This window comes from Homo sapiens, chromosome 11 (assembly GCF_000001405.40).
Source record: "Homo sapiens chromosome 11, GRCh38.p14 Primary Assembly".
NCBI lineage: Eukaryota > Metazoa > Chordata > Mammalia > Primates > Hominidae > Homo > Homo sapiens.
Genome location: NC_000011.10, coordinates 32,950,523 through 32,968,826, shown reverse-complemented (window position 1 = coordinate 32,968,826; position 18,304 = coordinate 32,950,523). Strand labels below are relative to the sequence as shown.

Below are 18,304 nucleotides of genomic sequence, written 5' to 3'. Positions count from 1 at the left end.
GATGGGATGAGCACTACATGAGGATCCAAAGTTCTAAGTTTTAGCTGAACTACAACTGCTGGATAAACTAGAACTGGATTTTAACTGAATAGAACTGATATGTGGCAGCTATGTGACGAATAGGCAAGCTGCCTAATTCCTCCAGACCTCATTTACCCTCTGAACAATCTGAACAATTACAAAATACAAACTGATCTAACAAAACACTGAGTATGACCAAGGGATATTAAGTCACTTTAACTTGAAGCAAAGAAAAAGTAGGGGAAGAAAAATGATCAAAACCCAGTACCAAAAATATGAATCAAAATAGTTATTTTAGAAAAAGAGGGGAGAGTAAAATTATGACAAAGATTCCTATTCAAAGCTTTTGGCTTTCAGTGTCACCACTCTGAACTTTAAGCTCCATTAAGAAAAGTACTTTTAGAATATAATTAGTTTTGGTGTAGCATTAAACATTTTAGATTATTAGATTCTTTCTTAATTTACCAGCATAGTACTTTATTATATTTTATAATACTAACTGCCTCTAATAACCTTCTGAAAAAAAACAACAACCCAGAATCCAGGTCACAAGTTTCACAGCTAAGTAAAATGATTGTTTACATAGTCTTTCTATTAGTGATTCAATCTGTTCTAATACTGTATTTACATTCTACAAAAGTAAGTTTTAAACATTTGTGATTTAAAAATAATCTTAAAAAATTTTCTCCCCTTAGAGAAAAATCAGAAAACACTGATAAGCAATTTTTAAAAATCTTTCAAAATACAACTATACAGAAATGACTACTACAAAGAGAAGCATATTTTATGATGCAAGGAATATAACATTTAATAGCAAAAATGCTGACCTGGGATTAGCTGAGTTTTAATCATGGTTCTTCAACCTCTAACCTGTTCTTTAACTTTAATCTCTTTTGAACTTTAGTTTACAAAATAAATGTTTCAGACTAGGTAATATCTAAAGTCCCTTCCAGCTCCTAATTACTTGAAAATGACTGATATACAGGTTACTGTCTCTGATTAGGTGGTAAGAAAAGCACTAGACCAGAAATTAGAAGACTTTAATTTTAATCCTTTCTCTGCCAGTTTCAAGTTTGTGGGCCCTTAAGCAAGTCACTTAACCTCTCTGAACCTGTCTTAATCCACAAAATGGCTGTCTAAGTTGTTTTAAGGTTAAATTAGAATATATGTCTAAGTATGTGAACATAATAAAACAGTATATAGTCATGCACTGCATAATGACATTTTTGACAATGACAGACCACATATACAATGGTGGTTCCATAAGACTATAATGCCATATTCTTACTGTACCTTTTATTTTCTTCTTTAAAAAAAACTTTTTAAAAATTTCAATAGCTTTAGGGGTACAGGTGGTTTGGGTTACATGGATGAGCTGTATAGTGGTGAAGTCTGGGATTTTAGTGCATCCATCACCCAAGTAGTGTACATTGTACCCCATAAGTAGTTTTTCATCCCTTACCCCTTTCTCACCCTCTCCCCTTCTGAGTCTCCAATGTCCATTATACCACGCTGCCTTTGTGTACCTATAGCTTAGCTCCCACTTATAAGTGAGAACATGTGATATTTGGTTCTCCATTCCTGAGTTACTTCAGTTAGAATAATGACCTCCAGTTCCACCCAAGTTGCTGCAAAAGACATTATTTTGCTCTTTTTTATGGCTGAATAGTATTCACTATATTTTCTTTATTCACTCATCGGCTGATGGGCACTTTCCATATCTTTACAGTTGTGAACTGTGCTGCAATAAACACATGTGCAGGTGTCTCTTGGGTATTATTTATTTTCCTTTATGTAGATACTCAGTACTGGGACTGCTGGTGAGAATGTAAATTAGTGCAACTGCTATGGAAAACAGTATGGAGATTTCTCAAATAACTAAAAGGAATAATATTAATTGGTATAACCCAGTGCATTTACTGGTTTAATACTAATTTTAACTGATTAGAAAATAATTGCTATGATGTATCTTTTACAAAAGATACAAGTATATGATTTTAATCTTTATGCCACTTTTATCTGGTTCATCTTTCCAATTATTGGAAAATAAAATATACTGACATACAGACCTTTCATGTAATACTAACACTTAGTAAACTATTTATGAGGATGATTAGATTCTAGAATTGGAAGAAACTGGTTAGAAGCTATACAATTTTCCCATGAGTAGAAAGCAATAAAAGTTCAAATATTCAGAGAATGCATGAAAAGATATGACCATTTTATGGAATTAAGATGCTATATATTTAACTGACAATTTATAGGTATATATTACACAAGTCACATATAAACATATAACTAACAGACAAGATTTCTTTTTTTAATTCCAGGAAGTACTACCAAGGAAGTACTACTTAGAAGACTGTACCATTGCTCTTCTCTAAGGCTTGCATTGTGTCAGGGTCCAAGGCAATGCTAACAAGCAATTCCATGTAGCTCTTAAAGGTTTCCTTCATTGCTCTTGTGTTCAAAAAGCGAGTGACAAAGGGAGCGGGAGGTTCAAATTCTGGGAGGGAGAAAGGGTTAAATATTAAATTTTCCTTCCTGACAATTTTAAAAACACTTTTCTCTATAACGAGACCCTAGAAGCAGATTGCAGATACAATTTCTTCAAATTCAAGACTTTCTCACCTTACCTTTAAAAGGTCTGAGGTTCTCAAAGCTGGTTTGCACATGACAATGACTGAAGAGCTTTGTTAACAATAGAACAAAAACCAGATTGCTGGACTTCCTAAAACAGAATCTTTGGTAGTGGTGGTGGTCGTGGTAGGGTGATGAAGCTTAAGTATTATGCTCTTAAAAAGCTTCCTAGGTGATTCGTGTGTGTGTGTGTGTGTGTGTGTGTGTGTGTGTGTGTGTGTTTTGAGACAGAGTTTCACTCTTGTTGCCCAGGCTGGAGTACAATGGCGCCATCTTGGCTCACTGCAACCTCCGCCTCCTAGGTTCAAGCAATTCTCCTGCCTCAACCTCCCGAGTAGCTGGGATTATAGGTACACACCACCATGCCTGGCTAATTTTTTTAGTAGAGAGGGGGTTTCACCATGTTGGCCAGGCTGGTCTTGAACTCCTGACCTCAGGTGATCTGCCTGCCTCAGCCTACCAAAGTGTTGGGATTACAGGCGTGAGCCACCACGCTTGGCCCTTCCTAGGTGATTCTGAAGCCCAACACCAGAAAAAGTAGACTGGGTAAGAAACTATTTGTCTTCTGCTGGATCCCACCACAGACATCTGCTGCTAGGTGGTGCTACTGTAGTCTTGATGGTTTCTCTGTTTAGTAGTAAAGAAATTGTATGACATCCAATGTATGAGTAATACATAGATTTCCTTTTTATTCCTAGACATAAATTACTATAAAATTCTTGCCTAGGATGTATTAAAAATGTTTAAAGTATGGCAGGTGCAGTGGCACGTGCCTGTAATCCCAACACTTTGGGAGGCCAAGGTGGGAGGACTGCTTGAGCCCAGGAGTTTGAGACCAGCTTGGGCAACATAGTGGGACATCGTTTCAATTAAAAAAAATATAAATTAGCCACGTGTGTGGTGGCATGTACCACTATTCCCAGCTACTCAAGAGGCTGAGGCGGGAGGATTGCTTGAGTCCCGGAGGTTGAGACTGCAGAGAACTGTGACTGCGCCACTGCACTCAAGCATGGGAAACAGAGTAAAGACCCTGTCTCATAAAGAAAAAGAAAAAAAGAAAAAAATCATTTTAATGTAAACACAGCCTGTGCACAGAGAAAATTTCATTCAAATCCAATGGAAAGAACTATGACATTAACTTGTTGGGTGCAGTGGTGCACACCTGTAGTCCCAGCTACTTGGGAGGCTGAGGTGGGAGGATTGTTTGAGCCTGGGAGTTCAAGACCAGCCTGGTCAATATAGCAAGACTCCATCTAAAAAAAAAAAGTTTGTTTCAATTTTGACTTTTTGTATTCAAATATATAATCAAGTCACACCCTTAAATAGCAGTTTTTAAAATATTTTTAATGTTGTGGGTATATAGTGTGCGTTTATGTGTGTGTATGTGTGTGTGTGTGTGTGTGTGTGTGTGTGTGTGTGTGTGTGTATATATATATATATATATATATGGTGTTTTTTTTTTTTCTTAGAGATAGGGTTTCACTATGTTGCCCAGGCTGGTCTTGAACTCTCAGCCTCAAGTGATCCTCCTGTCTCAGCCTCTGAAAGTGCTGAGATTAGCTGTAAGCCACCGTGCCTGGCCTATAGTAGGTGTATGTATTTTAAATAGCAGCTGTTAAAGTAACTGTACCCCAGGGGGGACCCCAAGACCCTTTTGGTGGTCTCTGATATCAAAACTGTTTTCATGATAATATTAAGATACTATGTACTTTCTTCACTGCATTGCCATTTGCAAAACTACTACTGGGTAAAATTGATGGTGCCTTACCCCACGAATCAAGGCAATGACAACAAACTGTACTAACAGTAATATACTTTGCATGACTTTGTCATGTCACTCACTACCATGTATTTGGAGGGGGAAAAAGTTTCACTTAGGAATAGTCCTAGGGGCTGGGCATGGTGGCTCACACCTATAATACCAGCACTTTGGGAGGCCAAAGTGGGAAGATTGCTTGAGGTCAGGAGTTCAAGACCAGCCCAGGCAATATAGTGAGATCCTGTCTCTACAAAAAAAAATTTTAAGTTAGCTAGGTGTGGTGGCATGCGCCTGTAGTACTAGCTGCTTGGGGGCCTGAAGTAGGAGGACTGTTTGAGCCCAGGAGTTCAAGGCTGCAGTGAGCTAAAAAGGTGCCACTCTACTCCTGCTGGTGATAGAATAAGACCCCATCTCTTAATTAACAACCAGAACAGTCTTAGGGCCAGGTGAGGTGACTCATGCCTATAATCCCAGCACTCTGGAAGGCTGAAGCAGGACAATGGCTTGAGGCCAGGAGTTTAAAACTAGCTTGGGCAACATAGTAAGACCCAGTCTCTACAAAAAACTTTAAAATTAGCTGGGCATGGTGGTGCATACCTGTAGTCAGTCCTAGCTACTTGGGGGACCGAGGTGAGAAGATTGCTTGTGCCAGAAGTTTGAGGTTACAGTGAATTATGATTACACCATGCACTCCAGCCTGGGTGACAGAGTGAGACCTCTCTCTAAATATACAAAATTTAAAAAGAGCCTGGGCAAGGCTGGATGCGGTGGCTCATGCACGTAATCCCAGCATTTTGGGAGGCCGAGGCGGGTGGATCACGAAGTCAAGCATTCAAGACCAACCTGGCCAACATAGTGAAACCCCATCTCTACTAAAAATACAAAAAAGTAGCCAGGCATGATGGCGGGCGCCTGTAATCCCAGCTACTCGGGAGGCTGAGGCAGGAGAATCGCTTGAACCTGGGAGGCGGTGCAGTGAGCCGAGATCGCGCCACTGCACTCCAGCCTGGACGATAGTGCGAGACTCCGTCTCAAACAAACAAACAAACAGAGCCTGGGCAACATGGAAAAACCTTGTCTCTACTAAAAAATACAAAAAAATTAGCGCCTGTAGTCCCAGATACCCAGGAGGCTGAGGTGAGAGGATCACATGAGCCTGGGATATTGAGGTTGCAGTGAGCCTTGTTTGTACCACTGCACTCCAGCCTGGGTGACAGAGTGAGACCTTGTCTCAAAAAAAGATAAAACAAAATAAAAATTAATAGTCCTTGACGAAGAAGTAATTATTAATTTTATGAAATTTCTATTCTTGAATAGATGTCTTTTTAATATTCTGTGTGATGAAATAGCAGGTACACATAAAGCACTTCTGCATAAATATAATGGGTATGACCAGGAGGAGCACCCATACAGTTGTGTGAGTTACAAGATAAACTAGCCATTCTTTCCCCCAAGAAAACAAGATTTTTATTTGAAAGAATGACTGACAGATACACTATGCCTATCCAGACTTGGGTATTTGGCAGACCTTAATTTATTCTTAAAAATAAATTAAGAGAATCTGCTCATTCAAGGAAAACAACTGATGGTATTTGTTGCCAATGATAAAATTTGAGATTTCAAGTGAAAATTAGAGTTCTGGACATCTTCTATCCCCACTGTGAGTCTGAGCTTCCCAATTTGTAAAGACTTCATTAATGAGATCATTCATAGAATTGATGAGTGCTATTTTTTGATAGTGTAAAATGAAATATCTGACCTTAAGAGCTAGAACCATAAAACTCTTAGAAGAAAATGTAGGAGTAAATATGTCCTTGGATTTGGCAATGGATTCTATGTGAACAAAAGCTGAGTAACAAAAGAAAAAATAAGTAAATTGGGCTTCATCCAAATTTAAAACTTTTGTGCATCAAAGGATATTATCAAGAAAGTGAAAAAGACAACCTACAAAATGGGAGGAAACATTTTCAAATTATGTATCTGATTAAGGGTTTAATATCCAGAATATATTAAAAAACTCCTACAACTTAACAACAAAAAGACAAATAACCCAGTTTAAAATGGGCAAAGGATCTGAATAGACATTTCTCCAAAGAAGATATACAAATGGCCAATAAGGACATAGAAAAAATGCTCAGGACATGGAAAAAATGCTCAACATCATTAGTCACTAGAAAAATTCAAACTGAAACCACAATGAGATACCACTTCACACTTGCTAGGATGACTTTAAAAAGACGCACACACAAACAGAAAATAACAAGTGTTAGCAAAGGATGTGGAAAAATTGGAACCGTCATGCTTTCCTGGTGGGAATATAAAATGGTGTAACCATGTGGAAAACAGTTTGATGGTTCCTCTAAAGGCTAAACATAGGATTATTATGTGACAATAGTAACAATTCTGCTTCAGGTCTATGCCTCCAAAATTGAAAATAGGAACTTAGATACTTGTATGCCAATGTTCATTACACCAATTATTCAGTTAGCCAAAAGGAGGAAATAACCCAAATACCATCAATAAAATGTGGTGTAAACATACAATGGAATATTACTTAGCCATAAAAAGGAATGAAGTTATGATATATGCTTTTACATGGATGAACCTAGAAAACATTTTGCTAAGTGAAAGAAGCCAGACACAGAAGGAAAAATATTGTATAATTCCACCTATATGAGATATTTAGAATGGGCAAAATCACAAATACAAAAAATAGGTTAGAGGTTACCAGTAGCTGGAGGAAAAACAGATTAGAGGTTACCAGTAGCTAGAGAAAAAAGAGAATAAGTAGTTGTTGCTTAATGGTTACAGTTTCTGTTTGGGATGATAAAAGTTTTGGAAATATAGGTGAGGGTTATACAACAGTGTGAATGTAAATAATGCTAATAAATTGTACACTTAAAAATGGTTAAAAAGGCAAATTTATATTTAACCACAGTGTTTTAAAGTGTGAAAAAAATTAATTATTGGAAGATCTATATCACTGAGCTAACTAATATTTTCACATGACCAATGAACAATGTTATAAAACCATGCATGGATGAGAGATATGTAAAGTTAAGACAAACCAATAGATTTTAATGTAATAGCATGAAAACTCAAGAAACTACTACTTGTCAGTATCAGGAGTATCTATGAGTATCTGAGAAGGCAATTGAAATCCTCCTCCTTTTCCTAACTACATACAGGAGGAGTATTTCCATTGCTTTCTCAGTTAAGTACGGATATTCTTGATACTTTAGCCAAAATAACATATAATAACAAACTGAATGTAGAAGCAGATATGCACTTATCTCACTAAATACTGTTAGTTTTGGAAAGTATAGTTGTTTTAAAAAAAACACCTCACATTAATAAGTAATGGGTTCATTTTAAATAAATATTTTAAAACTTTGAATTGGTATTTAGTAAATTTCAATAGATTTAGCACACATAAACCAAAGTATCTGGAATCCTCAATGTGTTTGAAGATTCCATTGGAGTCCTGAAACAAAGAGTCTGAAAATCACCAGCCTATGAATATATGTTTATTATCAATATTTGACTTCTTAAGAGAACTAAATACATTCTTTAGCCTGAGAATGTAAAGCAAGGAACAAAAAGGCCTAAAAATGTTTGCTTAACTATTAGTGACACCTAGTGGTCACTCAAATTACCAAGGGAAGAAAATGTTACCTTGTCATTTGAAGAAACTATAATTGAGAGCAAATTCAGAACAAACGTTTTGATTCTAAGCAGTAGGCAAGACTGCTAACTGCAAAAATTATGTATAATGCCTTCTATGCATATTCAAGGCACTGAATTTCCTTACCTATTCTGATTATATATTTCTTTTTTCTTTTTTTTGAGATGGAGTTTCGCTCTTGTTGCCCAAGGCTGGAGTGCAATAGCGCAATCTTGGCTTACTGAAACCTTTGCCTCTTGGGTTCAAGTGATTCTCCTGCCTCAGCCTCCTGAGTAGCTGGGATTACAGGTGCCTGCCACCACACCTGGCTAATTTTTTTGTATTTTTAGTAGAGACAGGGTTTCACCGTGTTGGCCAGTCTGGTCTCAAACTCCTGACATCAGGCGATCCACCCTCCTCAGCCTCCCAAAGTGCTGGGATTGCAGGCATGAGCCACCATGCCCAGCCTGATGTATATATTTCTAAACAACCATTTACAAATAGCTTTATTTTTTATTATTATTTTTTTAAGCTATGGGGTCTCGCTATGTTGTCTAGGTTGGTCTTGAACTCCTGGGATCAAGCAATCCTTTCTCCTGAGCCTCCCAAGTAGCTGGGTGTGTAGATGTGCACCACTGCACTTGCCCACAAATAGCATTTACAAACAGTACATTTAGACTGGGCACAGTGGCTTATGCCTATAATCCCAGCACTTTGGGAGGCCGAAGTGGGAGGATTGCTTGAGCCCAGGAGTTTGAGATCGGCCTGGGCAACACAGTGAGACCCTGTGTCTACAAAGATTAAAATTTAAAAATTAGCTGGGTGTGGTGGTGCCCACCTGTAGTCCCAGCTACTCAGGAGGCTGAGGTGGGAGGATCACTTGAGCCTGGGAGGTCGAGGCTACAGTGAGTCATGAGTGCACCACTGCAGTCCAGCCTAGACAACAGAGTAGACCTTGACTCAAAAAATAAAAAATAAAAACGGTAAATTTAAAGTAGACTTCAGCACTGAAGAATTTTTTTTATTATGGTTCTATTTCTAATCAGATAATTTCTAAGATAATCTCTCAAGCAATGATACTTGTAATGTCAGAAACCATCCTGGACATCAACTTCAACCATAGCCCCAACAACTAATTCACCATTCAAGTTCTGCCAAAATTACATCCTGAATATCTCAAAACTGTCCCCTCATCTCCATCCCTGCTGCCACTACTTAGGTTCAGACTCAATTTATGCCTGAATTATGTCTTGTAATTCAAATTTAAATTTCACCATATTGTTTCCCCCTTATAAATCCCTCTAAGGACTTTCATTTGTTTACAGGATCACAAGCTTTTTAGCTTTATTATGGCATACAAGGTCTTTCATCATCCCTTCCTCTTTTCTTAAATTCTACTTTATGTTCTAGAAAAATAGGGGCCAGCAACCTTTTTCTGTAAAGGGCTATAGGTAAATATTTTAGATTTTGTCATATGGTCTCTGTAGAACTACTCAAATCTGCCACTGTAGTGGGAAAGCAACTGTATGGAAATATGCAAATGAATCTATGCGGCTGTGTTCCAATAAAACTATAAAAACAGGCTGAGGGTCAGATTCAGTCTGCAAGACATTTGGCAACCTCTGTACTACACTACTAAACCACCTGAAATTTCTTACATATATTGTACACCATGCTTTGTGTGCTGGTATATTCTTATGTATTACAACTATCTCAGTTTTAATTTCTAATATAGTAAATATCAATAGATATACCTACATAAATGCATTTTAGGATCCTCAATAATTTTTAAGAATGTAAAATGGTTCTAAGATCAAGAAGTTTGATAACAAATTATTTCAACCTTTACATTTTATAAAACAAGAAAACTAAGAGAGGATATCCTACCTTCGTTATAGGTACATGATTAGCTAGTGGCAGATATATAGTAGTAAGCATTTATTAAATAATGTAGTGGCATACGTTATTAAATATATTACTATATTATAATTTGAGTGCCCCTTTCCTAGGCTTAGTTATTCTTTTCTTCTAGCATAAACTTAGACTCAAATGTTTATGCTAGGTGGGGCGCAGTGGCTCATGCCCGTAATCCCAGCACTTTGGGAGGCTAAGGCAGGAGGACTGCTTAAGCCCAGGAGTTTGAGACCATCCTGGGTGACAAAGCAAGAGCCCATATCTTAAAAAGAAACATTAGCTGGGCATGGTGGTGCACACCTATAGTCCCAGCTACTTTGGAGGCTGAGGTAGGAGAGTTACGAGCCCAGGTGTTCGAGGCTGCAGTGAGCTAGGATCATGCCATTGCACTTCAGCCTGGGCGACAGAATGAAACCTTGTCTCAAAAAAAAAAAAAGTTTAGAACTAGATGATTCTTAGTAATCATCTGATCTAACCTCCATCTTATCCAGAGTTGAGATAACTGGCATTACTAAGGTAAGTTCTGCCTTTTCTATTTACAAGGCTGCATGTGTGGGCCAACTGTGCTTCAGTTGGTATGTTCAGGGAATGTGAACTTACTTTCATAAAAACCTAAACAGAATTTATTAGGTAGATAAATTCCCTGAAAAGTAAATACATTTTGAATTGTCAGCATCCTGCTCCTCACCACTCATGTAGATAATCTAAAGTTATCAGGGTAGCCATTTCACGGAAAACTCACCCTCATCGTCACTACTACTAGTATGGATCTCAGGAGATGAGTCAGATTGGGATGATGAAAATTCTTCTTTCCATTTTTTCCGTTTCTTTGGTGGTGGCTCAGCCTTTACTTTTGGCTGTTTAACTTTGGGTTTCACGGAAGGGGCTTTTGTAGTTGTAGTTTTTGATGCTAGAGGATCAGAAGTTTTACTGCTACTACTTGGCTTAGCTTGAACAGTTCTGCAATGTTATAAACAAACTTCATTAACACACTGAAATCTTGTTAAACTAAAATAAAATAGAAAAATAAAAGAGAATCACAGGAGAAGATTATCTAATTACTCTCACCAATACCTTCAAAATATACAGTCCAAGTCCTATATACATCTCAATGGTGATTCCCATAAAATTTTCTTAAAATACATTCTTTTCACCAGAAGCATTCAATATTCAGTTATTAAGGGACTTTTAGTTCAGTCCTTATTTCTACTTCTTCATTGCCCTCCTTGATTTATGGACTTATTTCCCAGAGACTATGAGGCTGTACAACAGATGATCAGTGGGCTTAGGAAGGTAATGAATGTTATAACCGTAATTGCCATATCTAGCTCTGACCCTAAGAAACTCTCACAGGCTCTGGTGGTGTCAGGTTTTGATGTAGAAACCCAAATGCGGCGCGGTGGCTCATGCCTGTAATCCTAGCACTTTGGGAGGCTGAGGTGGGTGGATCACTTGAGGTCAGGAGTTCAAGACCAGCCTGGCCAACATAGTGAAACCCCATCTCTACTAAAAATACAAAACCAGCTGGGAGTGGTGGCGGGCGCCTGTAGTCCCAGCTACTCGGGAGGCTGAGGCAGGAGAATCGCTTGAACCCGGGAGGTGGAGGTTGCAGTGAGCCAAGATCACGCCGCTGCACTCCAGCCTGGGCGACAGAGCAAGACTCTATCTCAAAAAAAAGAAAAAAAAAAAAAAAAGAAAAAAAAAGAAAAAAAAGAAAAACCCAAATGCATCTGTCCTAGAGTCCCTCGAGATTTGCTGTATGCCAGCTGGGTATGGTGGCTCATGCCTGTAATCCCAGCATTTTGGGAGGCTGAGGCAGGCAAATTGCTTGAGCCCAAGAGTTCAAGACCAGCCTGAGCAACATGGTAAAATCCCATCCCTATAAAAATTAGCTGGGCACAGTGGTGCACACCTGTAGTCCCAGCTACTTGGGAAGTTGAGGCAGGAGGATCACCTGAGCCTGGGAGGTCGAGGCTGCAGTGCCGTGATCATGCCACTACACTGCAGCCTTAGTGACAGGGTGAGACCCTGTCTCAAATAAAAAAGATTTGCTCTCTTCCAGGTCTGAAGATTTGAGTGGATAAAATTCCATCATAAAAATAAGGTAAGCTGCTTCCAGTAGGTGGGAATGTTAATGAAACTGGACCTACTTGGCACTGGAGTAAGAACATCTACGGTCATACCTGCTTCTCATGCAGACCACAGGGTCAAGTCAGTTATCTTCCAGATTCATGCTCCAGACAACCCAGAGTCACATTAATACACAATAATAATTCTACTGTGTACACTTGTACAGTAATGTAGTTCTTATAGTTTTTTTATCAATAATTATTTTAAATTTAATTTACTTCATTATATTATTTACATTTTATAGATGAAAAAGGGAGCTTCAGGAAAGCTGTCTTCTCTAAGTCACATAAAGCTGGACTCAAACTTTTTGCCTCTACAATTTTTTTTCACAATACTGGGATGACACCAAAAGGACTTAGGGAAAAGAAAAGGGCACCCACCCACCACAGATAGCCATGAGCTTTACAGTGCCCATCTCATGCCTTCAAAAGAATCACTTATTTCATCAGGCACTGAAATTTTTTGACTTGTGTATAATAAAAAAAATCTATTTAATTGATATGCTCCTTTGTACATTGGTATCATCAATAATACACCTATATATATGCACAAATATATCACCTAAGAAAACAAATACCTGATAGTTTGTGAAGGTTTATTTCTTGGCTTTTTAGAACACACTCTGACATATTCCTTCTTGTTTGCATTTTCAATGAACTTCACATATATTCTTTTGTATTTACTCTTTGCATCTCCAAAATATCCAAGATACTGAGGAAGGAAACACTTTGAGTTACATAATTGAACAATCTAGATACAAATGCTACTTTGTTTGTTCAATTGACTATCCCATAGCCAACCTTCAAGTTTTCTAAAATGCAGCTCTGGCCAGGCTAATTTTACCCTCAAAAACTGATCCCAGGCTCATTATTGATTTCATATGTACAAGCAATCTCATTTGGCATATTCTTACTTCCAGCTACATTAAGTATGACAGAATAACTTCCATCAGTCTTCTGGTAAATCAGGATATTTGACTAGTAGAATAATCAATATAAAGGAGCCTCTGAGTCAATCTGAACTCTTCATAGGCTAACATTAATCCCTTTCCTTTATTAAAAAAAAAAGTTAAACAATAGTACAAGGTCATTTAATTTTAAATAGCTGATATTTAACAAATGACTTTATTTTTATATTAGACTATCAAAGAGCATCAATATTCTAGTTCAAATTATATGCTACTTTATATCAAAAATATTCAATATAAAATACTTCTATATTTAAATCATTGTTTTTCTCAGGACCACTGTCAAAATAAGGCTAATGTAAACATGCATTTTACTTACACTATTTGTAGCAGCAAATTCTCTTTGACCATCTCGAATTTCAGGAACAAATTTCTGTAATAAAGCTTTTTGTACTTTCCAAATAGCTGGAGGTTCTTTTCCTGTTTTTAAAGCCTCCTGTAATAACCAGAATTAATGATACTTACAAAACACAGCAACATATTTTAGATCTTAGAATATTAGAGATGAAAGGAATCTGAAAGGCCTACCCTAGCTCAACCTTTTATCTCACCTCTCTATCTGATATTCTGCAATAATTCTTATAAGCTGGTTAGGTTATTCAGTCTCTGCTTAAATTATTCCAGAAATAGGGAGTTCATTAGCACACAAAGTAGCCCATTACCCATTTGTGCAGCTAAAACTATTGGAAAGTTTTCTGCTAATGACACTGTCCTATGTTACATATGCAATTTTATAACTATGTATATATACATATCTTAAAAGACCATAAACAAATACATTAAAATATTAAAAGTAGTTAACTGTGAATAGTGAGAATACAGACACTTGAATGTTGGATTCTTCACTGCACTTTTTAACGTCATTCCCATGTTTTTTAAAAAGGCAAAAGTGGCTGTATGCAGTGGCTCATGCCACTGCATGAGGATTACATGCCTGTAATCCCAGCACTTTGGGAGGCCAAGATGGGAGGACTGCTTGAGGCCAAGAGTTTGAGACCAGCCTGGTCAACATAGCATGATCCCATCTCTATTTTAAAAAATACATAAAAAGGCAAAAAAGCAAAGCAAGCAAACAGAAACCCCAAAATATGTTATTTTAAACACAGCTACAACTTTCTTACATAAAATTATTACATTCTCTTCATGGTTATACAACTTGAAATTATGAAATTAAATCTAATTCTACTTTTACATGATAGTTCTCTGTTATTTTTGTTTAAACTTTTAAATTATATAAATAACGATTTTCTCCAAACTACTAATAATGAATTGGGAACCTTGAAAAAAGTCAACATTTTAAAACTACTATAATTACTAATACTGAAATGCAACTGACTACATTTGTACAGAAATACGTACAACTAAGTTAAGGTTAAAATTATCTTCAATGATATCTGACATCTACTCTTAATATTTTGATTTTATCAAACACTTATAATGCATAAAACTTCCCATAATTCAAAGTAGATGCATGCTATTGAAGTCATAATGAAGGCTATCGCAGGCACACTAACTAAACTATGACCTTTACACTGGTGAACACTGACATCACCTTAAAAGTCTCTATGTCTTCTATCTTTACCACAAATTCATCACGCTCTCTGTATTGGCCTTCTCCTCCGCTTTCTGTGTCCTCCTCATCTGTAAAACCTTCTATGGCAACAGTGTCCTGTCCTTTTGCAAACTGGTCTGAAGGAAGACCATCAAGTTCAATGGGCTTTGAGGATTCTGAAGAGCTTATATTTTCCAGAATATTTACTGCATATGAAGTAGAGTGGAGAGGTTCTTGCTTAACTGCACCCACAGTGGTTGAGGAAGTAGTAGCAGTACCAGTAGTATTGGCAGTTGGGCTAGTAGTTGCCACCTGTAGGGCTTCTGAAACAAAACCAAGCAAATGCAAATCAGTATTACAAATATTTAAACACTTGTTTTGTGTAAAACTCAAAACAGTTTAAAAAGAAAGACTTGATTATTTTGTAATCAAACTGGTTGAAACAAAACCACAGGAAGAAATTAGACAACAGATGTTAATTTCCAAGAATCAAAGATGTGAGAATTAAGTCTAGATGACAAGTAGACTGCAAACCTGCAACTATCTACCTATCCTCCCGCTGCCAATTCCATGTAAGTAGAGCAAAATTATTTTTAAAAGAAGAGGCTGGGTACAGTGGCTCACACCTGTAGTCCCAGCCCTATTAAAAAAATAAAAAATTAGCCGAGCATAGTGTTGTGTGCCTGTAGTCTCAGCTAATCAGGAGGATGAGATGCGAAAATTGCTTGGGCCCAGGAGTTCAAGGGTTACAGTGAGCTATGATAGTGCCACTGCACTCCAGCCTGGGTGACAGAACAAGACCCTACTTAAAAAAATAATAATAATAAAAATAAAGACATGAAAGTGATAGAAGATAAGGAAGGGTCGGCCAACCAAAACTGTGACTCTTCATAGAAGATGAAAAACCAAATACATGTGGGAAAAAAAAAAACCCAAAACATTCTGAAACAGCACTAGAAGCTATCAAAATTAAAATGATTATAAAGTAATACTATGAAAAACTGTATGCCAACAAATTAAATAACTTAAGATGAAATGGATAAATTCCTAGAAAGACACAAAATACTAAAAAAGATTGGGGCCATGCACGGTGGCTCACACCTGTAATCCCAGCACTTTGGGAGGCCAAGGCGGGCAGATCACGAGGTCAGGAGTTTGAGACCAGCCTGACCAACATGGTGAAACCCTGTCTCTACTAAAAATACAAAAATTAGCTGGGCGTGGTGGTGCGCGCCTTTAATCCCCGCTACTCAGGAGGGTGAGGCAGGAGAATAGCTTGAACCTGGGAGGCAGAGATTGCAGTGAGCCAAGACTGTGCCACTGCACTACAGCGTGGGCAAAAGAGACTCTGTCTCAAGGAAAAAAAAAAAAAAAAAGACTTGGGAAGAAATAGAAAATCTGAATACCCCAATACAAAGTAAAAAAAAAAAAAGTAATTTTAAAACATCCCACAAAGAAAAGCACAGGCCCATATGGCTTCACTGGATAATTCTATCAACAATTAAAGAAGATATCAATCTTTTATAAACTCCAAACAATAGGAGGAAACACTTCCCAACTCATTCTGTGAGGCCAGTATTATTCCAATACCAAAACCAGACAAAAACAGCATGAGAAAACTATAGACTAATATCCCTTAGTATATAAATACAAAAACCCACAATGAAATACTAGCAAATCCACCAACATACAAAAAGAATCATACAATATGACCACGTGGGATTTATCTTAGGAATGCAAAGTTAATTTAACACCTGAAAATCAATGTAATACACTGTGTTAATAGAAAACAGCATAGGAGCACAGGATCATTTCAATAGGTGAAGAAAAAGCATCTGACAAAATGTAATGCCCTTTTATGATAAAAACATTCAACAGCCTGGGAACTTCCCCAGCTTTACAGAGGACATTTAGAAAAAATCAGTAACTAACATCATACTTAGTGGTGAAAACTGTATATGCTTTCCTCCTAAGAAGGATATCTGAAGAAGCAAAGCTATATTTGCAGATGATATGATCTTGTATATAGAAAATCCCAAGGCCTGGGCGCAGTGGCTCACGCCTGTAATCCCAGCACTTTGGGAGGCTGAGGCGGGCGGATGACCTGAGATCAGGAGTTCGAGACCAGCCTGGCCAACATGGTGAAACCCCATCTCTACTAAAAATACAAAAAAATTAGCCAGGCATGGTGGTACACACCTGCAATCCCAGCAACTTGGGAGGCTGAGGCAGGAGAATTGCTTGAATCTGGGAGGCGGAGGTTGCAGTGAGCCACGATCTCACCACTGCACTCCATCCTGGGCAACAAGAGCGAAATTCCATCTCAAAAAAAAAAAAAAAATCCCAAGGAATATACTAAAAAACTATTAGAACTAAAAAATGAGTTCAGCAAGATTGCAGGGTACAAGACCAATATATAAAAATCACATGTATTTCTATACATTTGCAGTGAACAACCCAAAAAATAAAATTAAGAACACAATTCCATTTCTAATAGCATCAAAAGTAATATTTAGGAATAAATTTAACAAAAGAACTGCAAACTTACATTGTAAAAACTATAAAAACACTGTTCAAAGAAATCATAGAAGATCTGTATAACTGGAAAAACATCCCATGTTGATGGATGAGAAGACGCAACACTGTTAAGATGGCAGTGTTCCCCAAACTGACCTATGGAATCAACCCAATTCCTATAAAAATCTGAGCTTCATTTTTTACAAAAATTGACAAATTGTTCCTAAAATTCATATGGAAGTGAAAGGGACCCAGAATAGCCAAAATGATCTTGAAAAAAGAACAAAGTTGGCAGACTGACATTTCTCAATTTCAAAACTTACCATAAAGCTATAGAAATACAGACTGTGATACTGACACAGACATAGATACAAATCAATGGAATAGAATGAAAGTTCAGAAAGAAACTCCTATACTTATGAGCAAATGATTTTCAAAAAAGGTGCCAGAACCATTCAATAGAGAAAGAATAGTTAACCATCCTACTAGGATGATTATAATTAAAAATATAGACATTAACACATGTTAGCAAGAAAGTGGAATGAATGGAATCCTTATAGATCACTGATGAAAATGTAAAATGGTACAGCCACATTGGAAAATAGTTTGGCCATTCCTCTATTAACCATGCAGATATATGACTGAGGAATTCCACTTCTGGATGTGTACCCTAGAGATAATAAACATCCATACAAAAATCTGTAAATGAATGTTTACAGATTTATTCATGATAGCCAAAAACTCTATCAATGGATAACTGAATATACAAAATGTGGTATATCCATATTATTAGGGAATAAAAAGGAATCAGATACTGATACATGCTACAGCATAGATAAACCCTGAAAACATTATGCTAAATGAAAGAAGCCAGTTACAGAAGGTCACTTATTATAGGATTCCCTTTACATGAAACATCCCAAATAGGCAAATCTACAGAGAGAGAAAGATTTGTGGTTGCCTATAGCTGGGTGTGGGTATGGGAATGGACTCCTTAATGGATACAGGGTTTCTCTTTGAATGATACAAATGCTGCACAAGTCTATGAACCACTGAACTGTACACTTTAAATGGGTGGATGTTATTGTATATGAATTATAATTCAATAAAACTATTAAAAAATACTTCAAATACCACAGC

The 18,304-nt window shown here is 37.2% G+C and overlaps 1 protein-coding gene and 1 long non-coding RNA gene across 9 annotated transcripts in view; one reads left to right on the top strand and one right to left on the bottom strand.

Annotated features, from left to right (window-relative positions):
- Nucleotides 1-12,489, top strand: part of LOC105376615 (uncharacterized) — a 59,453-nt gene extending 46,964 nt beyond the window's left edge. The window contains exons 3-4 of one of the 2 annotated variants that reach the window (XR_931167.2): nucleotides 12,061-12,102; nucleotides 12,373-12,489. This is a non-coding gene — a long non-coding RNA (uncharacterized LOC105376615). Of the gene's footprint in view, nucleotides 1-2,351; nucleotides 2,500-12,060; nucleotides 12,103-12,372 lie in introns of those variants that run through there. The other variant, XR_931168.2, reaches the window with a different exon arrangement.
- The window catches only part of QSER1 (glutamine and serine rich 1), an 87,460-nt gene that overhangs the window by 11,444 nt on the left and 57,712 nt on the right, over nucleotides 1-18,304 (bottom strand). For 6 of the 7 annotated variants that reach the window (XM_047427611.1, NM_001076786.3, NM_001416037.1 and 3 more), the window contains 5 exons: nucleotides 14,648-14,970; nucleotides 13,415-13,531; nucleotides 12,706-12,839; nucleotides 10,741-10,958; nucleotides 2,390-2,527 (listed from right to left, as the gene is read on the bottom strand). In XM_047427611.1, coding sequence (XP_047283567.1) covers nucleotides 2,390-2,527; nucleotides 10,741-10,958; nucleotides 12,706-12,839; nucleotides 13,415-13,531; nucleotides 14,648-14,970 — 930 coding nt within the window. The remainder of the gene's footprint in view (nucleotides 1-2,389; nucleotides 2,528-10,740; nucleotides 10,959-12,705; nucleotides 12,840-13,414; nucleotides 13,532-14,647; nucleotides 14,971-18,304) is intronic. The other variant, NM_001416036.1, reaches the window with a different exon arrangement.